This window comes from Homo sapiens, chromosome 6 (assembly GCF_000001405.40).
Source record: "Homo sapiens chromosome 6, GRCh38.p14 Primary Assembly".
NCBI lineage: Eukaryota > Metazoa > Chordata > Mammalia > Primates > Hominidae > Homo > Homo sapiens.
In genome coordinates, this window is record NC_000006.12 from 110,333,816 (window position 1) to 110,360,685 (window position 26,870).

The window sequence follows — 26,870 nt, forward strand, 5'->3', positions numbered from 1 at the left end:
TCCCTTCAATAGTTATATTTCTTGATAACTGACACACTTAAGTGCATTTACATTACTTTATTTATACTTTTATTTTGAGGCTTTTCTTTTTATTTTTCCCATCCACTCTCTACATGTTGTCATTCTCAGATTTTCTGTATTTCATCATTTTTAATAAGAGTAACTTAGAAGTTATATATTCTATTTTCATTTTAGAGTAGTGTTCTCTATAAGTAAATAAGCCAGACAGAAAAAAAGTGGGGGGAGGAATGGAGACGAGAACAGGAAAAGGGGGGCCTGAGAGAAAACAGAGGAAAGGGGGGTCTTCCCGCAACACCTGCACAGCAATCTCCATCTTCCCCACGAGAGAACCTGCAACCCGGGGGCCCACAGGGCTCCCCGAGGTCTCTTTGGTGGCTCTCAGCCCACATCAGTCTCAACTTCACTCAAACCAGGGAAAGTGTTTCCTTTCCAGGCTTTAAACCAGAAGTCATTTTTATCACGGAAAAGAATTAAAATGCCTCACCTAGTCAGCAAGCGCAGGAGAACATGGACCGTGGCAGAAATAATGCATCCCAGAGGCCACAGAGAGCACCCAAAACACAGAGCAGCAGCATCCCACAGCCACCCCAAAGGCTGACAAGGGGACAGAGGCCACACGTGGCACAGGACATTGACGGGAAGCAAAGCCTTTCTTGGAAACCAGTTGTAGACACTGGATGGTGCTTGAATCCTCTCCTCTGAGACAGGACAAAAGCAAGCAGGACATAAAGTGCTCTGCCACGAGTAGACAGGCCCAGGGGTTGGGGGATGGGGGAGAGCAAAGCCACACACCATTTATCACATGGTTAAAGAGTAGCAGCGGTTTCCTCATGAGGCTATCACATCCCACTGAATATGTCATTGGTTGCACGTAACCGTGCAGGTATACATATATGTATTTCTCAGTTCTCAGCATTCATTCATCCATTAACTCTTTTGTCATTTTCATATTGTTCATGTTTCATACTGACCTATCCTACTCTCTTGCCATTTGACAATGATACAGTATTTGGTAGTCTCAGTAAATCCTACCTGACAATTACAGATAACGCTCTGGTTCCAGGACATTCCTTGCATGATTCTATATTTATAGAACATTTTTCTGTCTGAATGCACTATAAGTTATAGTGGCTGACAAGTTAGGAGAAGCCACATAAAAGCTTCTTTTGAATCTCTGGGAAGCTGCCACCAGGGCAGAACAAGGCAGGCAGAGTCGACTGGACTCCTCTGGAACCAAAAGTATTTCAACCTCAACCCTAAATGGAAGGAAAAATCCACAGTCTTTATTACGAAGTGGCCTTTTTCAGGGACATGAAGAATTGCTGAAGGAAGCAGACCTTTTTGGAAGTCAATCCATTCTGATTGGGTTTGCTGCTGTGGAACTCTCTGGACTCAGGATTCTTTGGTGAATGGGAGCAAGAATCTCCAAAGTTAGAAGCGAAGCTGCCAAAGTGGCAACTGACCTCAGCCCAGGACCCTCTCCCCATTTCAGATTGGAAATAACGAGAGTACAGGTGACAAACTGTATAACATAGCAGATCTAAGCTGATGAAATCTCGAATATATTTCTTAATTGTATGAGAAATGACTAATATTCCTTTCATTAAAGAAAAACAACCTTCCATCCATAAGTAAAAACTTACAATGAAAAAAGCAGTTACAGAATACAAAAGACACAAACAATTTCAAGCTTTAAATTTTACTTGCTTTGTACTTGTAGGGAATCATTGTTTTTTTTTTTTTTTTTTTTTTTTTTTTATGAAAAAAATGTTTAAGACTAGGGTTTCACTATATTGCCCAGGCTAGACTTGAACTCCTGGACTCAAGTAATACTCCTGCCTCAGCCTCCCAAGTAGCTGGGCCTACACTGCACCTATTGTACTGGTAGGGGGTCTTTGCATTAAAAGAGACCTTAATAATAATCAAGACTAGCTGCTTCATATTATAATTGAAGAAAACGAAGTTCAGAGAGGTGAAATGACATGGCAAAGTCACCCAGGTAGGAGGTGACAGTGATGGATTCTGGCCCAGGCCTCTAGGCTGCTGGTCCCATACTTGCTCCACTACCCCATGCTGCCTCCAACCCAGGTCTGAGTTTTATCGTCCCCAAAGCTAGTTGATAATATAGACATGGCATGCCCAGTAGTACTTCAGAAAGGATTCCCAGGTAAAAACCAAAATGGCTGTCTTGCACTGATAAACTCAGTGCAACAGGTAAGAAATCCATGAAATTCTTTCTCCAGAAGATACAGAACACACTAAAAAGTTCACTAGTGGTTCTGAAAATGTCATGGAGGATAAATCCTTAGTGAGTTAGAAAGGAGGATTACAATGTGTCACGGGAAAGGATTTGGGCCTTTCTGATGAGTGGCAGTGGTATATGTAAGTAGGGGCAGGGGCCAGCCCGAGTCCCTGAATGACAGCAACAAGCTGAGGCCTTGCCTCTCATCCCTACCAACCCACACTGGCCATGTAGCATAGCAAGAAATAAAAGTTCTTCATTTTAATCCACTGAAATTTGAAATCAAACACCCACATGAATGTTTGTTACTGCATCATAACCTAGCCTATCCTGATTCATGCAAGCACCTACTAAAAGGCACTCGATAAAAGATGGTTATCAGCTGGGCGCGGTGGCTCATGCCTGTAATCCCAGCACTTTGGGAGGCTGAGGTGGGCGGATCACGAGGTCAGGAGATAGAGACCATCCTGGCTAACACGGTGAAACCCCGTCTCTACTAAAAATACAAAAAATTAGGCAGGCATGGTGGCGGGCGCCTGTAGCCCCAGCTACTTGGGAGGCTGAGGCAGAAGAATGGGTGAACCCAGGAGGCGGGGCTTGCAGTGAGCTGAGATTGCGCCACTGCACTCCAGCCTGGGCGACACAGCAAGACTCCGCCTCAAAAAAAAAAAAAAAAAACAAAAAGATGGTTATCATTTGCTGGCGAGGTTGCAGAGAAAAGGGAACACTTATACACTGTCGGTGGGAGTGAAAATTAGTTCAACCGTTAGGGAACGCAGTGTGGTGATGCCTCAAAGAGCTAAAAGTAGAACTAATATTCAACCCATCAATCGCATTATTGGGTATGTACCCAGAGGAATATAAATCATTCTGCCATAAAGACACATGCACGTGAATGTTCACCACATCACTATTCACAATAGCAAAGACATGGAATCAACCTAAATACCCATGAGTGACAGGCTGGATAAAGAAAATGTGGTACATATACACCATGAAATACTATGCAGCCATAAAACAGAACAAGATCATATCTTTTGCAGGAACATAGATGGAGCTGGAGGCCATTATCCTTATCAAACTAATGCAGGAATAGAAAACCAAATACTGCATGTTCTCACTTAGAAGTGGGAGCTAAATGATGAGAACTCATAGGCACAAAGGAGGGAAGAGCAGACACTGGGTTCTACTTGAGGGTCGAGGGTTGGAGAAGGGAGAAGAATGGAAAAATAACTATTGGGTACTAGGCTCAATACTTGGGTGATGAAATAATCTGTACAACAAACCCCCATTATATGAGTTTACCTATGTAACAAACCTTCACATGTACCCTAGAACCTAAAATAAAAGTTAGAAAAAAAGAGTGCACAGAATAATAAAAAAGAGGTGGTTATCATTATGAATGTACCCCTACAGCACTTTCCCAATGCCACACCATCAGAGATTGAATGGTAGGCTAGAACAGACCATTGGTCTTATGCAGATTCTTGGATAGGGAAAGAAAAGTATAACCAAGGACAAGTCAGTGTCAAGATCAGATTCAGGGAAGTTAGGAAGTGCCCAGATAGACCATAAGGAAATTCCAGTTACAAAACAAATCCTGTTGCATCATGACCCTAACATACTTTTCCTCCTGCCCAGAATTCTCCCGCTTATTCACTAGTCAGTTCAGATTCCACTTATTCTTCAGACTCTAGTTTTAGTTCCACATATTCCCTCAAATTTCTTAATCCTTCAAGCCTCTACTATGTGCAAAATAGACCATGCAAAGCAGGTGCTTCAGCAATTATTACTTTTACTTCCCATTTTATACTTAATCAAACATTTGGTAAAATCTGTTTCAAGTGTGTCAATCTTGTTTCTCTAACCAGACTACAAGCTCTGTGAAGATGCCATGTGTTTTGCTGCTTTTACAGTCCCCCACAGAAATGATTCCAAGGGACATTTTTACACTGATTTAAATGCCAGGGAGGAAAGAACATGATATAATCCTCAGGGCTGAGGACAATTTGTTTTAATGACTTTGGAAGAAAGCAGGGAAATTCACTAACTGGACTTTATAGTAATACCTTAATCTAGCTAAATATACATACTCTTTCTTTGGGTGGAAATAAATTATTATAAACCCTACATGTTGGCTGGGTGTGGTGGCTCACACCTGTAATCCCAGCACTTTGGGAGGCTGAGGTGGGTGGATCACCTGAGGTTGGGAGTTTGAGACCAACCTGGCCAACATGGGCAAAACCCTATCTCTACTAAAAATACAAAAATTAGCTGGGCGTGATGGTGCATGCCTGTAATACCAGCTACTCAGGAAGCTGAGGCAGGAGAATCACTTGAGTCTGGGAGGTGGAGGTTGCAGTGAGCTGAGATCATGCCACTGTCCTCCAACCTGGGCAACAGAGCAAGATTCTGTCTCAAAAAACAAAGCCAAAGGAAAACAACAATAACAAAAACCCCAACGTGTCTTCGATTCAGCTTTGTTCAAATTAAAGTTAAAACCAGAGATGGCAAGTAGTTTAGCAGGAACCCTGAGAAAAACTACAAGGAAGCATTTTTGAGAATTTAAAACACTTCATTAAAAATTAGCATTTGTTTTAATAGATTAAAAAGTTAAGTATTTACATAGCAGTTATCATAAACTTTAAGCTAAATCTGTATAAGTTCTCTACTTGAAATCATTAAGGTTAGGTTTTGTCCAAATCATTTAACAGCACTGAGCTAATTAGTCTATAATATTGAAAGTTAGCTTTCGTAATTCCAAAGACTGTTTGTATGTAACCTTGCAACTATCGATATTTGTTACTGCAAATTTTATTGGTTAAATGCAGAAAAAGTAGTTGGTAAAGGTGAAGATGAAAACAGTGTTTGTCATGGGAGGTTGATCCCACAGAGATGACCTCCCAGAGATAACCTCCTGGTCATAACTGTTCTGGTCTACTTCTAATCATTCATCCTGGATAGTGATGTTGTGCAGATTCTCTTAAAGTTAAGTAAGTGCATTCCTCCTTATAGGAATTTATTTTACAAGTAAAATAAAGTAGCTTCAGTGTACCTTAAAACATGGTGCCACAACTTTTATTTTCTTCAACACATACTGCAGTACAAGCACTCTTAATCTGTCTCTACAAAACCAACTCAGAATTTTCCCTATCTGTGCACTCCTGCAGCTAACAGCTTGGTTCATTCTCCCGCTAGGAGTCATTTGGCTTGCTCCCAAACCAGTTTCTATCAGTTGTACAAGTTATTGAAATGACATAATTTAATTGAAAATTAGGTAAACCAATGAAATGTGTGCATAGAAAGAAAATGAGTTCTCTTTCCTAAGAAAAAACAAGTCAATAAAGGCTAGGTGCCATTTCTAAATACTGTGCATTAGGTATGGGTGAGGTAACTGCAAAAAAGAATAACAAAATCACTAAAATCTGGAGGTGTTCTGCACTTAGACTATTTTACAAGTGTCAAATTCTTGCTCCACTTTAAAGAAACCAAAACTGGGAAGGGTGGGTGATATAGTATAGATGGCTTTGGGCAAGAAAGATCAGAACTCCAGCCAGGGGCAATACACACAACAAAAGATTGGCAAACAAATGTACACGTATATGTTTTCAGTTAAAATAGATGGTCTATGTATATGTTTTTGTGATTCACTGTTTCAATCATACTTTATTGTATATAACTGACCAATTACTACAGATTGGTGACTTTGGATATGGGGCTTCTACTCAACTTGTCAATTAAACGATTGTAGAGATGACACAAGTGTATAGCTAGAGACAGTGCCATGTTATTAACTAACTTAGAAGATGCCAGAGTAATGTTGGTGCCTAGCTGGAGGAATACGAACATAAACCAGGATGTGGACAAGGTTGAAGAGATGACCCATAACTTCCTTTATATTTATTTTCTCAAGAAGCTATGAATTTTCCCACCTTTAAAGACTGTTTTAGCATTCATCATTTTAACAGCATAGAACAGGCACTTATTTACAAATGAAACAACACAAAAATCAATAGGAGGGAGGAACAACTGGCTACTATCCTGAAAAGAAAACACAGCTCTTCTTCAAGGTCTAACTTAAGGAGTCCAGGGCGCTCACACATCTGGCACAAGGAGGATGGAGCTAGGCCAGGCCTGGGTTGCTGAGGGGCAGGGGCATGGGGGTGGTGAGGAGGGGTCCTGACTCTAGGGGCTGTTGTCCAGGACAGTAGGCCCACCTCCTGAGGGTTCAGCCCAGCCAGCAGTGAAGTGATTCCGGGAGAGAGAAGCCCATCACACTGGGGCAGCTCTCAGTTAAAGATGAACACCAGTTACTGAACTCTCTACCCCAAGTTTAGAAATCAACCATCACAACCATCCCTGGCCATGTCTTAACCTGGCACTCATGCCTCCCTGCCAGAGTGGTCCATCACAGGAGCCCTGGGCTAGGGGAGACCTAGGTATCTGTAATCTGAAAACTCCTATGGCCGATTCTGACCCACTCTTCATGAGCGACCTTCATGAGGATCATGAATATGCTGAAATCAACTGCAAATGAATGTGCATGTGTGCAAATGTTCAGTATTCTGGAGCACTTGTCCACAGCTTCCATCAAATTGTTTTCATCAAAATTTTGTAACTCAAAAGCATGGAGAACCACTGTTCTGAACACCGTTCAAGTATTCACCGTCCTGGTTATCTCCACAGTACGGAGGAAATCTGAGATGAGGCTGAACACAGCATTCCCCCGTACACAGCCTTCCTGCTGTACGTTCTCTATTTTTTTTTCCAGACTCCAATCTGTTCCTCTTTCTTCACTTCTATTTTTACATTGAAAAGTTTGGATTTCAAAATAACTATAACCTAAGAATTCCTCAGATAAAAGACACAGAAAAGTAAATTTCCAATTTCCCTTACCCTACTTCTCACATTCCTGTATGGTTTTATTATTAAAACTTTTTTTTTTTCCAAAAAAATGAAGGGCACTTTATGTCTGTTTTTCCTATTAAGTTAATGGCTTGAACAAATATACACATATTTATTTTAATTGTCAGCATCATGGCTTACCTATGTTTTTAAAATAACAAATTATACATATAGATGGCACTCTTTTCTCCTGTGTCTTGTCTCAACACATGACCATAACAAGAAAGGATACAATGTTGTATGTGTTAAACAGGCTCCAATCTGTGCTGGTAGTTTGGTTTTACAAATAAGAACATTCCCTGTCCAGGAATAAGGCCCAGGCATTTGGATTTTCCAAAACAACTCTCTGTAACCAGGATATCCAAATAAATTCAAGCATTTCAATTTCAAAACTGATGTAGCTATCTGCTCCTGATTGAGGTTCCTCTAAGTGCACATTAGTTAAATAAGCCATTTTCTGCTATTTCTGAGCAAAATGAATATTCACTATTCAAAAGGACATGCCCTATCCTAATTATATAACCAGTTCAAATTTTTTTTAAGAAATGTAAGATATACTTGAAATTCTAACCTGACAAAATTGCTGAAATTAAGCTTTAAGATATATTCGTTCATTTGGAAAATGTCTAAGAAGCCTTAATATCAAACCTAAAATGTATAGTAATCAACATATTTTTCTGAGATCCAGATTTCAGCATAGAGGCAGTCTCAGTATAGAGCAGAAAGAACATGAAATCTGACCTCATCTGATCTGGATTATAATCGCAATTTATCTCAATCCAGTAATTTAACCAGATTTCTTCTTGGTAGAATGGACATAACGTCCGTCTCACTCACAAGGCTATGATGAGAATCACTTGGGATAACAACAGAGCAAGCCTTTGTAGGCTGGGAGGAGCTATTTAAAAGCAAGATACTGTAGCTGCTGTTCCCTTTTTAACGCAAAAGCCCTCCAAAATGCATAGGATGCTTCTGGCACACAAGTCATTAGAATGAGGTGACAACAGTCATCTGAGTGAGAATGAAGGTGAGAAAGAAGGGCCAAGGTAGCTGAAATCCTTAGCAGAACAAGCGCTCCCTTGTATAAGAGGTGCAATGGGCTGACAGCTTCCTGGCCACATCTTTTGACAACCCCCTGGTGGTCAGTGTCAGTGCTTTGTGCAAAAAGCTAATGCACTAGGAGGTCAGCAAGCTCACAGCGATGGCAGCTTGAGGCTCTCTCTGCTCTGGCAAACAGCAAGCTCCTATGTTTCTAATGCAGGGCTGTGTGTATCTGATTCTGCAATGCGTCTGCCATGCCTGGGGAGCTGTTGGGAGAGGGAGCACCATGAAGTTCACCAGCAGCCAGAAGAAGATTCCTGAGAGGCCAAGCCAAGTGCTACCTAGAGAGGCCAGCATGTGGGCTCCACATTTCTGCTGAAGACGCCTGTGCCCACAAGTGAGTACCATCAGGCTGAGGTCCCAGGGTACGCTCACAGTTCATTTCTCTTTATCTGAACAGAGAATATCATGTACTTTCACACCTGTCATGCATTCCATGGGCTTCTGAGCATTTTTGAAAAACGGAGATATGATTCACATGCCACAAAATTTACTATTTTAAATTTACCATTTCACTGTGGCTTTTAGTATATATACAGCTTGTGCAACTGACACCATTATCTAATTCCAGAATACTTTCATCACCCCAAAAAGAAACTCCTTTCCTAGTAGCAGTTGCTTCCCATTCCCCTCTACCCCCAGCCTCTGGCAACCACTAATCTACTTTCTGTCTCTCTAGATTTGCCTATTCTGGACATTTCATTAAAAAATGAGTAATGCAATATGTGGCCTTTTGTGATTGCTTTTACTTAGCATTAGGTTTCAAGGTCCATCCATGTTGTAGCATGTATCAGTGCTTCATCCCTTTTTATAGTTGAGTAAGTTTCCCCTGTATGGGTATACCACATCTTGTGTACCCATTCGTCAGCTGATAGACATTTGGATGGTTTCCAACTTTTGGCTACTATGGATAATGACCCTATGAATAATCATGGACAAGTTTTGTGTAAACATGTTTTCAGTTGTCTTAGGTATATACCTGGAATGCAATTGCTGGGTCATTTCTGAGCACTTTTGAACCCTAACGTTTATGTCATCACCCTCCGTGTACCCATTTCCATGGCAGATAGAAATAAATATAGTTCATCAGGAACCCCAAAAGCCAAAGGAGAAAATGAAGACAGGAAGAAAGGGAAAAAGGGGTTCTGCATGAAGCAATATATTGCTGCTCTCAAAGTACCACTAATAATATATTTCCCCTGTACCATAACACAGCAGTAGCCATAGCTAGGATGAGGGGACCAGCACTGGGCCTAAGTTGGCACAATCCTCTTAATAATAAGAACAATGAACATATAATGAGTGCTTCCTATGGACAAGGCACTGTGCTGAGCACATTTTATGAATTGTCTAGTAGTAGAGAGGAAAGGAGAAACAGGATTATTGAAAACAAACACTCACTGCAGCCAATTCTGCCTTCTGCCAGAGTGGCATAATTCATGCCTAGGACAGGCCCGGAAGGAAAGGGGAAAACAGAGGAAGCTAAATTGCCTGAGGAAGAAAATGACATTTATTTGCTAGAGTCAGGTAGGGAGTAGGGGTGTTGAAGGCCTGAAAATGGAAAAGGGATTGATGTGTAGATAAGAGAATGCAGGAACAATGGAGCAGGGGCCTAAGAAGAAAATACAGCCTGTAAGAAACCCCAATGGCCAAGAAAACTTTAATCAGTTTTAGTTGATTTCTGTTTTGAACCATGTTGATATTTTCCTCCTTTTCCCTGAGACCTTCAGTAAGGCCTGTGTTGGTGTCAGTCTGGAAGATTAGAGAAGCGGGCAGTGCAGAGCGAAGAGGAGACAGCAGTGGCCAGAGGTGAAACACTGAGGTAGCAGCAGAAATTCAAAGAAAGATGACCAGGAAAGGTAAGCCCCATTATTATCAGAATATTGGAGAGAAGAAAAGGTACTGAACTTATAGTACATGGCTCAAGCCATTTTAAGTATTAGGGGAAAGGGTGACCCCAGAAGCTGGAAGAGATGAGATCACCTGACTTTCATACTGTAATCTGCCCAACAATGCAACGGTTATGTTATAAGGGTGGGTAACGGAGTAGGAGGCAAATCCAAGATTTACCCCTTCAATGTTCACTGCATGACAATGGACTCATGACCTTCGAGACTTTGCGGTGCCATTCCCATAAATGGTCAGAAAGTCCCAAAACATTCTCAGTGCCCTATGGAAGTCAAGGACTGTTCTCATGCTGCAGATGAAAAAAACTCTAGCACGAGAGTCTCCTGGACATGACTGGGTCTACTGAAGTTTTTTCTCACCCACCCTCCTGCAACAGTCACAGCTAAGGGGCCCTGAGGCCACTTCTGTAGCAGGGGTTGACAAAAATTTTCTGAAAAAAGCCACACAGTAAATACTTAAACTTTGTGAGCCAAGAAGCAAAATCAAGAATATTATTAATAAATAGGTAGTTATATAAAAAGATAAATTTCTACAACTTTTATTGATGAAATAAAAAAATAATAATTGTGCACAAATTTTAGTAATACAGATCTGTTAATGAGAAGAATGAAGTTTATTGATAGCAAATCCATTGGGGTATATACCTGGAATGTATATACCCCAAGTTAGTGTTTCCCAAGCAATGGGGAAAGGATTCTCTATTCAATAAATGTTGTGGCATAACTGGCTAGCCATATACAGAAGACTGAAACTAGGCCCCTTCCTTGTACCATACACAAAAATCAATTAAAGATGGATTAAAGCCTTAAATGTCAATCCTATAACTATAAAACTCTGGAAGACAGCCTAGGCAATACTATCCTGGACACAGGAACGAGCAAAGACTTCATGACAAAAACGCCAAAAGCAAACGCAACAAAAGCAAAAATTGACAAATGGGATCTACTTAAACTTAAGAGCTTCTGCATAGCAAAAGAAACTATCAACAGAGTTAGCAAACAACCTGTAGTGGATGGGAGAAAATGCCTGCAAACTGTGCATCTGACATAGGTCTAATATCCAGCATCTATGAGGAACTTACATTTATAAGAAAAAAACAGCCCCATTAAAAAGTGGGCAAAGGTCATGAACAGACATTTCTCTAAAGAAGATTTACATGCAGCCAGCAAGCATATGAAAAAAAAATCTCAATATTACGGATCAGTAGAGAAATGTAAATCAAAACCACAATGAGATACCATCTCACACCAGTAAGAAGGCTATTATTAAAAAGTCAAAAAGTAACAGATGCTGGCAAGGTTATGGAGAAAAGGGAACATTTATACACGGTTGGTGGGAGTGTAAATGAGTTCAACCATTGTGAAAAGCAGTGTGGCGATTCCTCAAAGAGCTAAAAGCAGAACTACCATTCAACGCAGCAAAACCATTATTGGGTTTGTACCCAGAGGAATATAAATCATTCTACCATAAAGACACATGCACATGAATGTTCATTGCAGCCCTATTCACAATAGCAAAGACATGGAATCAACCTAAATGCCCATCAGTGATAGACTGGATAAAGTAAATGTGGTACATATACACCATGGACTGTTGGGCAGCCATAAAAAAGAATGAGATCATGTCTTTTGCAGGAACATGAAGGGAGCTGGAGGCCATTACTGTTAGTAAACTAATACAGGAACAGAAAACCAAATACCGTATATTCTCACTTGTAAATGGGAGCTAATGATGAAAACTCATAGACACAAAGAAGAGAACAATAGACACTGACTGGGACCTACTTGAGGGTGGAGGATGGGAGGAGGGAGAGGAGCAGAAAAAATAACTATTCAGTACCAGGCTTAGTACCTGGTTGTCAAAATAATCTGTACAACAAGCCCCCATGACACAAGTTTACCTGTATAACAAACCTGCACATGTACCCCAGAACCTGAAACAAAAGTTATAAACAAAACAAAAAACAAAGTTAGTTTTTCCTAACATCAAACCGATTACAAATGTTCATCTGTAGAAACCATTCTTAGCTTATGGGCCATACATAAGCTACATGTGGTTCTCAACTTCTGTTCTGCAGCCACTGTTACCTGAAGCAAAGTGAATGCTGGGTTATCTGTGTAAAGAGTCTGTAATGCAATACCCTGATTCAGAAATTAGACACCTCAAATGGACTTTCAAGTAGCGCTTGAAAGATCCAGCTGTTCCTCAAACCCATTGGTCTATACCCAGTGATAGAAACAACCATTCTTTCAGCCAGTATTTCCTGAGAACCTACTGTGTGCCAGAACTATCATAGTCACTGGGGATATCATGGTGAGTAAGACAGATGAGCTCCCTGCCTTCATAGGGAATGACTGCAAACAAAAGTTAAAGCAAGAAAAAATTGTCAGAGAGCGGTAATGCTATGGAGAAAACAGGAGACTATATTGGAGGAGTAGGGATAGGGAGCTACTTCAGGTGATACAGTGTAATAAGCAGTTCCTTTGTCCCTATATTATTCTCTCTCTCTCTCTTTTTTTTTTTTTTTGAGATGGAGTCTCACTCTGTCACCCAGCAGGCTGGAGTGCAATGGCATGATTTTGGCTCACTGCAACCTCCACCTCCCCGGTTCAAGTGATTCTCCTGCCTCAGCCTCCCAAGTAGCTGGGATTACAGGCATGTGCCATCACGCCCAGCTAATTTTTGTATATTTAGTAGAGACAGAGTTTCACTATGTTGGTCAGGCTGGTCTCGAACTCCTGATCTCAAGTCATCCACCCACCTCAGCCTCCCAAAGTGCTGGGATTACAGGCGTGAGTCAGCACACATGGCCATCAATCCTTTTTTTCAATCAGACATTTGTATTTTTTCCAGTATGATGGAGGTGAAATAGAAATCTCACTGTGTTTTGATTTTCTTCCCCTTATTAATCATCGTTATATGTAAATACATTTTTTTTGACTTTTCAGGTTTCCTCTTCTATTAATCCCTGACTGATTTCTTGTTTATTTTTCTGTTCAGTTTTCTTTTTCACTTTGATGGCGTTCTTTTAAAATTTTGGACATTGATCCTTTATTGGTGCTATACATTGTAGATATCCTTGCCCAGACTATGACTTGTCTTTTAACTTTGTAGTGCCTCTTGTTTACAAGATTTTAATTTTTATCTGGTAAAGAATCCACTGTATATGAGAATTGGTTGTTAGCTCCCTTCTCAGCAGGCAAATATAGAAAAAAGCCTGGATTTTAAGTTTAAACCTTCACTTCATGCCTTATAGCTGTGTCTTGCCCAAATTTATTAAAATGTTGAGCCCTGACTTCCCTGTCTGCAAAATGAGAACAATTCCTACCTCACGGTTTTGTTTTGAGAATTAAATGAAAAAATATATGCAACTCTCCTAGTACAGTAGGCCTCTCCTACCCCACTCTTAAATTATAAGCTGCTTGAAGGAATTATATTCTGCATAAAACCATGTGCAACACTGATACTTAGACTTTATTGTGTTGACTGAGTTTATCTTTAAAATGCATATAAAGTACCAAGTATAATAATATGCACTTAATTGACTAAAACGTGGAAGACAAGACTGGAAAAACAATTTAGCAATTAGCTCTTTAACCCACAATTGCTCCAACTGGCCTCCCTTGAACTAAAGAGGTAACAGAGTGGTAGTAAGTGACCCAGTTAATAGGAAATTTGTAAACATTCTTTTGAGGGAAAATGGTATTTAAAAAGCCTGGAATCCCATTTATACTGTCAATCCTACTATGGACCAAAATCATTGAACAGCATGTTGTAAAAGATATTTGTAATTAGCTTTGAGAGGAAAAAAAATCACAAACTAATGTGAACAATAAGCCTCAACCAATTTCATAATAAATGAGTTATATGGGGAATACATTTATAATACAAACACTAACAAAAATATACTAGTTATGGCTAGCTTTTATTTCAGATTAAAAAGAAAAATTCCAACTCCTCTGATCCCTGAGCATATTATATATGCATTACGTTTCAAGAATAATAAAATAAATATTTAAAATTGCAGTGAACATTGGGCTTTACCCACCACAAGCACACACATCGATACATTTTTGGTACTTACAGGCCAGTGCCCCAGCTGGAAACACAAGGCTGAACACAGACCGTATTCATTGACTGAACTCTTTCCATGTGAACACCTGCAAGGTGCTTTCACCTTCCTGCTCTCGTTTCATCTTCACGACAACCCTGTGAGTTAAGTATTAGTAACTTTTTTTCAAAGGAAGAAACTCAAGTTCAGAGAGGATATGCCACTTGTCCATATCCACTAAGCAAGGGAGCAGAATTTAAACTGCTGACTGCAAGTATGAAAATATGAGCCCATCTTATAGATGAAGCTGCACCATACTGAAGTATTTTCATGAAATTTGTAAAACCATGTAAACAGGACTCCTAGATCCCACGTATTACTTTCACTGACTTCTCCCATACGCTACTCCCGAAACTGCTGAAGGAAAAGGCCCCCTTCTATGGCCTAATTACTCTGAGCTCAATGAGCATGTATTTTGCTAATCAGGATTTTTAAGTGATCGTGCTCTAGTCAAAGTACATGAAAAATAAACTAAAATGACTTGCTGTCGCATTGTGCACAATAGCAAATGCTATAAAACACGAATATTGCCTCTGATTTGGGGACGGATTCTGAAAACATGTTTGGAGGTCGTTCAACCAGCTCCAACTAAAAATGAGTAAGTGATGGCCGTGAAGATGGATTGACTTGGAGTCTGATTCATCTCATCAGAGGCCTTTGGCCCACTTACACTCATGGCTTTATTTATTCAAATAATTTGCTTTATTCCACCCCCCTAGAGAAAAAGACCAGCAGACCATCATCCCACCTCTGCTCTGTGCAAAGAATCTAACATAAACAATGTCAACAAGAATCATTGCATTTAACAAACTCCAGGATGCACCACAGCACTGTTTGTAAGATGTAAATGGGGTCTTGTTTTAGTTCACTGTTCTGCTAAATTCAGGTGTCTGCTTCATTTTAGATCTCGGTCCCCTGAAAAGAGGCTCCCGTGCTGTATTCAATACTGTCAAATGTGCAGATTCAGTGAGGCATCCCAAACAGCGAACGTGAAACATGACCTAGACGATGTCCATTTAGACACGGATGATTGAAGGGTTACTATACTGTGGTGACCGCTGGCATTGCTTGCTACCCGTCTCCAACTCTCTGACTACGGCACACAGCAGGATGGTCCCTCTAGCATTGGGTGGGACTGAGCAACTGGCTCTGACCATTGGATTGTGAGCAGAGGCAATGTGTGTTGCTTCCAGGCTAGAGCTTTTAATAATGCCATGCAAAGATCCTCCAGAGCATTCATCCCTCTGCCAAGGTGACCAGCAATGTTCCAGATGGCAGTCACACTGCTAGCATGGGGTCCAGAGAGATGCAGTGACAGCACAGAGCAGCACCCCACACCCGCAACAGATATCTGGCACAAGCAAGAAATAAACCTCTGCTAGCATGAGTCCGGAGCATTGTTTGTGACCACAGCATAAACTGGCCCCTCCCACCCAATGCCTCAGGCACATAGTGCCATGAAAAAGGGCTTGGTGTTGATTAAATTGAGTTGATCTAGTAATAAGTTAGCAGATTGGTGTAATTTAGTATCTGAAGTAAAATGTTATTATCTTGTCAGGGAAAGGTCCTTCAGCCCATAGTTCACTTGGGCCCCGATCACCATGTTCCAAAATCTGTATTAAATAGACCTAAGCAAAATTGAAAAGGAAAAGTTACAGTTGTAACCTTCCAAACTGCCAGCTCTAATTTATTGGTCTGCCAAGGTTCTTAGTTGTAAACAATAGAAACTACCCTGGCTAGTTAAGCAGAAAAGGATTGATTAAAGATTTATTAGCTTACAGAATCTCAAGGGCAGGAATACCACCTCCAGATATGCCAGTGTAGATGACATAGCTTCACTGCTGGGCATGGACACCACCCTGAGCTCTGGATGCCTCTGATAGAACCTCGGCCACTGAGCTACTCTGTGGCCCTCGTGCCACCTGCTTTGCATCTGTAGGGTACAATCCAAACTCTCATGCAGGTGTGTCTAAATGGTGAAGCCTAGGTCACATGAATGCACTTTGGGTGCAAAGACAAGTGGCAATTATTTTTTGTTTTGTTTCTTAGAAAGGCAGAGAATTCCTCACACATGGGAAAGATATTCAAAGGTGTGACCAAAAAGAATAGTAAATACTCACTATATCTGTGGTAGTGCCTAATATGGACAACTAAGGTCTTCAGTGCTCATTTTAGTCATAATCAACTTCCAGAGCCTTCCTGGTCCCTGCAGCTCTTCTTTTTCTCTCCAGGAGGGTTTCAATCAGTCCCTGTTTGTACTAGTTTCAGTTGGGTCTGCCACTTGCAACCCAGAGAGTCCTAACTGATACAGAAATAATCATGCATTAAAGAATTCCAGGCTAGCCAGTTGCAAGGGGGGCTGTGAATATTCAGATGCCCTGAAGAAATTTTCAGATTTTTTTTTCCTGCAAGGTAACTATGCATGACAGAAAAAAAAAAATCAAAGAATATGAGACTCTAAGTTTCGTTTGAGAACCCTAATTGGTATCATGGGCTAAATACTGATACTTACGTTCTCTACTAAATGTCCTCGAAATGGGGGACGGGTGCGGTGACTCACATCTGTAATCCCAAAACTTTGGGAGGCCAAGGTGGGAGGATCACTTGAGCCCAGCAGTTCAAGGCCAGCCTGAGCAACATAGTGAGACCCTGTCTCAACAAAATAAAATAAAATAAAATAAAATAAAATAAAATAAAATAAAATAAAATAAAATAAAAAATTAGGCCAGGCTCAGTGGCTCATGCCTGTAATCCCAGCACTTTGAGACGCTGAGGCAGGCAGATCACTAGGTCAGGAGTTTGAGACCAGCCTGGCCAACAGAGTGAAACCCCATCTCTACTAAAAATACAAAAAATTAGCTGGGCGTGGTGGCAGGCGCCTGTAATCCCAGCTACTTGGGAGGCTGAGGCAGGAGAATCACTTGAACCCGGGAGGCGGAGGTTGCAGTGAGCCGAGATCGCGCCACTGCACTCCAGCCCGGGTGACAGTGCTGTAGTACCAGTTACTTGGGAGGCCTGAGTTGGGAGGTCGAGGCTGCAGTGAGCCATGATCGCAACACTGCACTCCAGCCTGGGCAACAGGGTAAGACCCTGTCTCTAAAAAAATAAACAAATAAGTAAAAAATTAATCAATGTCTTCACAAATGACTTTTTACTTTAAAAAATATTACATATACCTAGATCTTGTAGGCGTATATTCACTAAATTAAAAATGTCAGTAGTATATCCAAAGTGCCAACTTATTGCCAATGCTACTTGGAAATAAGGCTATCTATAAGACTACATGTAGATAGAGAAATAGTTAATGTTTAAAGAAAGATAGAGCTAGCTAGATGGGTATAGACATATGTATATTCACACACACACACATTGATGTTAGGGTCTAGGATTAGTAAAACCAAAGCTACCCTATACTCTGTTTCTAGGTGCTCAAGTCCAAGGGTTGGTTGAAATAATAGAATAAAATATGAGAAAAACAAAAACCTAAGGGCAAAACTGCATAAAAATTATACCAAATACTTAAGGCATGCCAAGGACTTAACTTCTTAGAGTAACTTAAAGTTTCTCTTTTCTCTAAGAATGGCTTCCAGGATTGGGCAGGCGCCCTAGGCCTTTGTTTAGGTCAAGTGGCCTGAGCCGGCTGGTCCAGTGTGAATGTCAAAGAGACCAAGCCCTGGAATCCAGTGAGGTGACCTGTATTATAATAGCACTTGAGGGAGAAGATCAAAGAATTCAGAAAGCTGGGATTTCCGTAACAGCCCTATTCCTTCTCTATTCCACATGGCAGTCATTAACTCTTCCTCCAATTCAGTGAGAAATCCCAAGGTTTCCCAATAAATTTAATTCTAAAAAAATTTAATTGTTAATTATTATAGGCACATACAGTTGTTTATTCTTTAATTCTTTTTTTCTTCCTTTTTTGTTTAAGTTAGGCTAGAGCCCAGTTCCTGTTCATAACCAAAAGAATGTTAGGTTAACTAAGTCTATTCCCCTACGATCTTACCCTCCCCAGTATCCAGCTACAGCCTTAGGTAACTCATCTTCCTTAACGGGAGCAATTTAAAAGGACCTTTGGCTTTTCTGAACCGAGTAGTCATGTGCCATGCCGTCACTGAGCTTAGCAATCTTAGCCTTGATTGTCACTTTTTAGGAAAATAATTGCTAATTTTAACAACCTCTGTCTTATAGTTGTAACTTCAAATGCCTTCAGAGATCAGACAGGTGAGGTAAATGGAGAGAATGGTGAGCTGGACCTCACTGGACTCACTATATGCCCCATATAAAGATATTTATGTTCAAATACTTAAAACACTGTGTGGTTCAAATAAAATTCGTGGGCCAAATTTACCTCCTGAACTGTCAACTAGCAACCCACCTTGCTATTGGTTTATATTACATATGGGTCTAGATTATAAGGCTCTTAAAATTCAATTTTCATTCAATTATTTGAACAGGATAAAAATGTTTCTTGCACAGCAAATTTTCATATCTTTTTTTTTTTTTTTATCAGAACATAAGACATTAATGGAGCTCATGTGAGGTATCTAGAGGACCCAAGTGGTGTTTTTAAAAGAAGCTTATCAATGCTGGCAGATTCCTGCCTCGGTGTGTGTCCCACGGTAAGTAAAACAGGCTCATGTTACTTTCTACGAACCACAGAACAAAGCATGCCAAACTCCTTAGAAACACAAGGACTCCAAAAGTATTACAGCACAGATGGAAAAACTCAAATGCCTACCCTTGACAGTCTTTGGTTTAACTACTTGACCTGATTCTCTTCACAGACTAAAAAGGAAATCCAATTCTATTTGAGAAAACTGACAAGACATTCTTTTCCTTGGAGAAAATGGACTGGGACAAATTACACACAAAAAGCTGAAATCTCCACCACCAGTGGTTGAAAAACAATCGAGCCTCCATTAGCAGTTCCTTTGCCCACAGAATGCTCTCTGAGGAACTACGGGGTTTGGAAAAAGTGCAGGCCTCTATTCTTCATCCACGACACATCAAAGTTGTAATAAAAACCTGCTTTTCTTTGTGCGACTAAGCAACTGCTATTTCACACCCACATATTGCTGGAGCTTATTCAATTACCCTCAATGACTTTGTTTAAAATGAAAATGCTTTGCCTCCTAAGGACAGTGTGAGAGGACTGATTAATGTTGCTCCCTGAAGAACAGAAGTGTAGGTACACAGGCAAAAACCTGAGGAGCTAGAAACTACTGCTGGGCCATGTTTCACAAGCAATTCAAACCTATCTTCAAGTATTTTGTAAAGAATAAGGACTCTTAAGGCAGTTGGACATATCAGGGGGCATCCCATACCATTTTTCCTCTTTCTTCTTGATGACAATCACAGAATTAGAAAACTAAGAAGATGACAAGAAGTGAGAAAGAAAAACCAAATTTTGCCATATGGTTTTTCAGGAGAAGAGGAAACAGTTCTTTTTTTTTTTTTTTTTTTTTCCGCCTGACACATGGTTCCAAAAGATCTGTAACTAACGAACCAAGCCAGCACATTGCTGGGTTCTGGAGCTCTGTGACTCAGAAGTCACTTTTCTATCCAACATATTAAATGTCAAGTAAAATATATCCGATAAGAGAGATGAAACTTTTTCGGGAAGCTTGGCCACTGAGTGAGTGTCTCTCTTTTGCAAATGGGCCCTGTATGTTGCATCTGTCTTTTAGGTGGATTGCCAACCTATAAGAGATAAAACATCCACCCAAGAGCTGCATTAAAAAGCATAAATCATGAAGACCATATCTAGTCCTCTATAAATCCCTTCAAAAAGAACTTTATCTGTAATCATAGTAAAGGTCTGTTTCATTTAAGAAAGAAAAAAAACCCAAACAGAAACACATGCAGATAGAAAACAGAGAGAAAATAAAAGAATCACAGTGGTATTTTTATGCATGCATAGTATGCGAAATTTGGAGATGAAGAGTCCCGACAGAATGCTTAAAGAATCTGTAATACACAAGAATATATAGGTTCCAGGGTGGGCATAATCAAAAAGGGCAGTATTTATCCATCATCTATCATTGGCTCTCATTTTGCAAAGCTTGAAGATTAGAACCCCTGATGTCGAAAGATCTGAAAATATTTAGAGCTAGTTCTTGCATGGCTCCATGAAGAAGGGGACGAGGAAAGAAAGAATTATATGAGGACTACACTTCACTACTCTTTTTTATAGCAGATTGTTTTCTTTAAGAGGAGCATAAGCTGTGATTAAAGTGGCAGAATTTTGGTGCCTCTAACACCTGGAATGGAAGCAGAGTAACAAGAAATACTTGGCAACCCAATTATTTCATGCAGGTTTTCATCTACCCAGAAAGCTGTCCTCAAAATAGAATGGAACTTTTTCTCCTTTATCAATCTGGGAGGTGCCTGGGGCAAAGTAACCAAGAACCTAAGAATATTGTTGATCAGTATTCTCAACAAACAAAATCTAAATACACTGTGATCCAAGGAGTTTAACAAATAGCTTCCTAATTTTATTTCAATTACTTAATGGTACATTCAGCTTACATTACAGTGCTGTCTTGATGTGAGGCAGAAAAGAAACAAGACTTGTCCCTAGAGAGATATGGGGTTATTGAGCTTTGTTCCCAGAAGTGGGAGGATGGATTAGATAACTGATCTTTCTATAGTTTTAAGGAATATTTTAATTCAACTGTGAAATAATGGGAGAATAAAACAAATTCAAGATCAACACTATCTAGGGATTTGGGAAGGTTAGATGTATATCCCGAAAATAATAGCTAGCGAGAAGGAAATCTAAGAAAATGTTTACCTTAGGAGACTAAAAACTTAATATTTTAGAAATAGCAAAAGGCCCATTTATTTCTTATAAATTTTTAACCAAAGACATTTACAGTTACTGAATAGGCTGAAATAGTAAGATTCTTATACTTTCACATACTGGGGTCTCAGGAGTAAACATTTACTAGGGGTCACTATGGGAAATACAATCCTTCCCATCAAGAACAACTGTGGAGACAAAACATTCCATCCGAAATGGATTATCAGGCCTCAACTTGTACAAAGCAATGCACAAATCAGACTCTTTCTGTTGTCATTCCAAGTGGGGGAGGGGTCAGCATGAAGCAGGGTTGCTATGGGAAGGTTTCTGGGCTATGAACCTTGACCTGAGGAATGTCCAAGGGTGAAAAGGGCAGGAGTCATAAGAAAGGGGGATGGGGCCTTGCAGGTAGAGGAGTGAGCATAAGCCACCTTTGTAGGTTACAGTGAATGACGTTTGGAGACTGGCTGAGGCTAAAAACCTGGGGCCTACTGTAGAAAGTAAAGCTACCATTATTGAGAGCTAAACATGCCAGGCACAAAGCTAAACATTTCCTTTACTTTTTTCCCTAATTTAATTGTAATAAAACTGAGCCCCAGGCCACAGGCTCGGATTGCTTCTCTTTGTTAGCCACACTCACTTCCTAGATGACCACATACGATCTCTCAGTTTTACTGCCATTTGTACTTGGATGATTCTCAAATCACCACCTTCAGCCTGGACATCTCCTCCAAGCTCTGGACTCACACGTCCGGTTGCCTATTTGACATTTTCACATGCATGCCTGAAGGATATCTTAAACTGAATTCCTGCTTTCCATCTATCCCCCAAACAAAACAAACAAGAGAGAAATAACTGCTCCTCCTCATCCACCTTCCAAACACATCCAGAAACCAACCACTTCTCACCACCTCCACACCTACCACAGCAAGCCACCCCCATCTCCAGCCTGAATCACTGTGGCAGCCTCCTAGCTCCTAGCAGGGATGAGTGTGAACCTCCCCTCCAGCGCCCCACTGAGTCTATGCATTCCAAACCTGTCCTTTGTAGGACAGGCTCCAGCCATCAGTACTGTCGTTTGAGGTACAGACAAAGAGTTAAGAGTAATTACTTGACAGATGACAGCAGAAACAACAGATGCTGAGTGAATCTAAAAGGAAAACTGCAGGGAGGGGTTGAGGGTGTCAAGGATGGAACATTGAGGACATCCAGAGGGGAATAAAAGAAGCCCCACTCTTAAGAAACATCACAGTGTTGGCCAGGCGCAGTGGCTCACGCCTGTAATTCCAGCACTTTGGGGGATTGAGGCGGGTGGGTCACTTGAGGTCAGGAGTTCGATACCAGCCTGGCCAACATGGTGAAACCCATCTCTATTAAAAATACAAAAATTAGCCCAGCGTGGTGGTGCACGCCTGTAATCCCAGCTACTCGGTAGGCTGAGCCAGAAGAATCGCTTGAACCCGGGAGACGGAAGTGGCAGTGAGCCAAGATCAAGCCACTGTACTCCAGCCTGGGCGACACAGCAAGACTCCGGCTCAAATAAAAAAAAGAAAAAGAAAAGAAAAGAAAAGAAAAAGAAAAGAAAGAAACATCACATTGTAACTCAAATATGTCCCCCGCCTTGAGCAGCCTTTCTTGACTCCCCAGGCAGAGCTGAAGGCCTCAATTACAGGATTGGAAATCACCGGATGCCTGTGCTAAGAGCCTCCCCCACGAGAATCTGAACTCGTTTTGTGCCTCCAGCACCAGATGCCTACCTGGTAAGCCCTTGGCAAAACTGTGCTGAATGTTTAACATGGTATCACGGACAGTGAATTAGGAACTTGGAGAGGAAGTGGCTGCTTTCTTCTGGAAGATCTAATCAAGACTTTACACAGGAGGTGAGGTTTGCGAGATAGAAAAAGGTATTTCAGTTTATCCAGGAAGTTAGCACGATGGCCCAGCAAGGAACAGCAGTGGTGTGGAAAAACGGAGGGCGAGGCCCGAAGGAAGCGAGGAAGTGAAGCCCGGCAGGAGTGCTGGGTTGTGGTGCTGAAAAGTAGGCTAGCACTGGGCAGCCGAAGACAGCAGCGAGGCAAAGGAAGAGTTGTTCCCTCCCCTCCAGGACCGGTGATGGGAAGCGGGGTGGAGGTTGGGGTGGATGTCTAAAAGAAACGAGGAACAGCCGGGCAACGGAAAGTAGTTGCTTTGGAGAACGTGGTTGAGGCTGGAAGCAGGAGTTGATGGGTAAAAGGATGAGGAGAGCTCATACCTGTAGTTCTTTTCATTTCCATGTACGACGCAAATTACCGAGCTCCAAAAAGGAGATGAGCCCAAAACCTTAACAATCAGAGGCTAAAAATGGACTAATCAGTGAGGTGTAAGCCAAGAAGTTAATGAGGTAGGAGGCACAACACGGTCGAGAGTTATAAGACAAACCCAGGTTATTACTTGGGTCCTCGAGGATCCAATTAACTTCTCATTAAGTGGGGCTGGGTGCTCGGCTTCTCAACTGGCGCCAGCCTCCCAGCCCCCAGCCAACGCCTGGAATGAGACTCCAGGGAAATTCGGCCAGCTGGTGGATCTTCAGCGAGATGAAGGCAGTGGCGTGGACAGGCCATTCACGGCGATACCCACCCAACTCTGTCCAGGCCTTAAGCAGAAGGCTGGGAGCAGCACAGCACATCAATGGCAGCCACAACGCCTTCCTTTCCCTTTCCCTTTCCCTGCCTATCACGCAAACACTCCCCTACTAAAGTGTATCCTCCGTGAGAACAGGGCTCCGTCCTTCTTCACGGGATGCGCGGAGCCTAGAAGGGCGCCCGGCCACGGCGACCCCCAAGTACTGGCTGAATAGTGAATGAACTCCGCTTGGCCGCACTTCAGTCTATCTGGGCACTGAAAGATGCGACCCGTGGAGCCGCCTAAGAGAGCACAGGGGGAAGAGAAGAAGCGGAAGCCTCCGGAGGTCCCATCGAGGCGGCCTGCGGGACCTGAGCGCCGGGCTCCGTAGCGCGGTCGGGAGGGGGCTTCTGGTCCCAGGCCCAAGACCGACCGCTTTGCAACTGACCTTCCGGCGGGGGCGCCCGCGCGGGGCACAGCAGCCAGGCTCCGGCGTCCCGCTCCCGCCGCCCCCCGGCGGCGCCCGGCGACCGCTGCGCACGTAGGTCACCTGCCTCCTGCTGGCGCCGCGCGGCTGGCCCGGCGCGGGCGGCAGGTGCGGCCCAGGTGGCCGCCAGGCCGGGCCCGGCGGGGCGCTGCGGGTGGGGGACCCGGGCCCGGCGCGCCGCAGCTCTGCGCAGAGCCGCAGGCCGAACAACAGCACAGCCCCGAGTAGACACCGGCGCAGGACGCCGCAGCCCCTCCCGGGCGGCCTCTCCCGGGCCATGGCGCTACACTCGGGGTCCCGCGGGCCGCGCCTGGCCGGCAGCAGGGATGTAGCCCCACAGGCCGGAGCGGCCAACTGTGGGAACTCCCCCGCGGGCCGGGGTGCGGGCTCGGACCCGCCTCCCTCCCTCCCGACCGAGGAAGCCCCGGCGTAACCTTATCCTGCCCTGCCGAGCGCGCCCCGCCGCTGGAACGGTGGTGGGCCGAACGCGGTCACAGGGGGCCCTCTCCGCCCCTCCGGAGGTGCCAGGGCCCGGCTGTACAGGGTCCCTCAAGAGGTGCCCTCCGCCCCGGCCTCCAAAGCCTGACGGAGCTGAAAGACATAGGGCCAGAAAAAGCGCATTCCTAACGGGATCCCGGGCCATAACTTCATTTTCTGGTATTAGTGTTGTTGGAGAAACACAGGAGGAGGGTAGGTGAGCATACAAGGAACAGTCAAGCAGTTTGCACCATTAAGCACAATATAAAAATAAATAGCACTTATGCCCGGGCTTACAACTTCTCTCTCTCTCTCAAGAAAGAAAGGGATTGGGGGGCGAAGAGAATAGCACTCAATGCAGAATAATCAAATTAGAGTTATTCTATGTCTAAATTCTGCCTGAAGCCAATTCGTGCTTTCTTTCCGTGTTATGAAATGTGTGGGGGTGAAGAAGAAGAGGGAAAAAGCCAGCTAAGACATCTGACAGCGGGTTGGTGAGGAGGGGGGAGAGAGAACAGAAGTTACCATGGCATGATGTAAATCAAATTAATTTAGCTCCAAACACACACCTCCCTGCTGTCTCGCAGAAATACAGAGGGACAAATTTATCTTTCGGCAAAATGCTCCCCAGCTGGTATTTCCATCACCACCTTGACCTTAATTAATCAGACTGAACTCTCACAGCCTGAAGTCCAGTGGTGGATGTTCCATTTTCAATTGTTAGTAGAATCCTTTCCCACAACCCATTTGGGGTGGGTTTGGGTTTTAGGTTTGAGTTTGGGTTTAGATTTTTTTAAGCTGTAGTCACTTTTCTTTTTTTCCTTGCTTTACTCTTGCATTTTCCATGCTTCCATGGGAGACTGCGCCTGTAGACCTATCCTCTTCCCCCGTAACAGCCTACAGCATGGACAAGAGAGAACAAATATGGGGCCCTACCCCCCTGCCCTTTTGAATGTTGGGTATTTTCCGTAGGAAGCCCTCGTCTCTAAAATCCTCTTCTCTTCCTGGCTTAAGAAAGACCCAATTTATTCCCTGCTAGTGAACAAAGCACTTGGGCTGTTTCTCTACATGTAACAAAATATCTCCACCCAGTCTAGTCCACCCCCTGGCCACACCAGATCCTCAGGCTCCTGAACGTTCCATTAGGATTGACTTTTGCTTTTTTCTTAGATGAGTCCAGGGGATATTGCAGATGGGTTCTATTTTAACAAATTTAAACAAGTACGAGTTTTTCCTTACACAAACTGAGAGCCAGCCTCACATCCTGTGACTATTTACTTGAACTGTGTTTGAACCAGGACCCTGCCGTTCAAGCACTATGAGACTTTCAACGAAGTACTGGACCTCTCTGAGTTTCCGTTTTCCCATGAATAAACAGATCTATATATATGGCAGGATTATAAATGTTGCATAAAATATTATATGTTTCATGCCCAAATAATACTGGCTCACAGAAGGGTCTCAATAGTAATTATTTTGTTATTTACCATGGAAGAAAATCCTGGATGTTGTCATGAAAAACAAAAGGTAAGCATTGATTCCAAAGTGGGCAAAGATAAAGTATAAGGAAATTTACAAATAATTTATACAGCATTCTCTGGAATTCAGAGTACCCAATAATTTCAAGAAAATAACAATTAATCATCAAGAAACGAACTCTGTTAAGTTGTATAAGGCTCTTTAAGACAGAGTTTGTAGGGTGCTTGATAAACCTGGATTGGTAATGTCTGATGTAGACTTTGCTGGAAGTTTTATTTTCTATGCAGTCAACACAGTGCCGCTAACTAGAGAAGTCATATTTTGAAGATCATGGTGCCACTAGTGCGTACCCTCTGCTCCTCTGTTGAGTTTCTCTCTGGGGGTGGGTGGGGAAGCATAAGCACTCTCCTATATTATTAAAATGGGGATATTTAATAAGACTCTGGGCTGGGGGTGGAGGATGGAGTGGGGGTGCATACAAAACAGTGTAGCTCTTGAAGAGAATGGGCAGGATGACCTCATATTTTCCTTTATCTCATTTCTACAGTTCTCTAATAAAATGTTTTCATTATGGAAAAAAATTCAAATTACATGGAATATTTAAATAGCCTTTTATCTTTTGCAGTTGTGTTTATGTCTATGTGTTTATTACTAATAAAAAAGAACCGTTTATATGTATGTAGCATCAATTTTCTGGAAGAAACCTATTTTTAACTTCCACACAGTGTTTTCCTGT

General features: G+C 42.3%; 1 protein-coding gene and 1 long non-coding RNA gene across 4 annotated transcripts in view; one reads left to right on the forward strand and one right to left on the reverse strand.

Annotated features, from left to right (window-relative positions):
• METTL24 (methyltransferase like 24) overlaps positions 1-24,534 on the reverse strand; it is a 114,410-nt gene extending 89,876 nt beyond the window's left edge. For both annotated transcript variants that reach the window (NM_001354594.2, NM_001123364.3), the window contains exon 1: positions 24,140-24,534. Coding sequence is in view for 1 of the 2 variants with exons in the window: in NM_001123364.3 (NP_001116836.1) it covers positions 24,140-24,457 (318 nt within the window). In the remaining variant the exon portion in view is untranslated. The remainder of the gene's footprint in view (positions 1-24,139) is intronic.
• Positions 1,439-19,335, forward strand: LOC102724586 (uncharacterized). 2 transcript variants are annotated; one of them, XR_428004.3, is made up of 5 exons: positions 1,439-1,535; positions 8,430-8,606; positions 10,000-10,128; positions 18,799-18,907; positions 19,073-19,335. It is a non-coding gene; the product is annotated as an uncharacterized LOC102724586 (long non-coding RNA). The 2 variants fall into 2 exon arrangements; XR_001744291.2 differs by lacking the exon at positions 1,439-1,535 and having other exon boundaries at positions 8,542-8,606; positions 9,992-10,128; positions 18,799-19,335.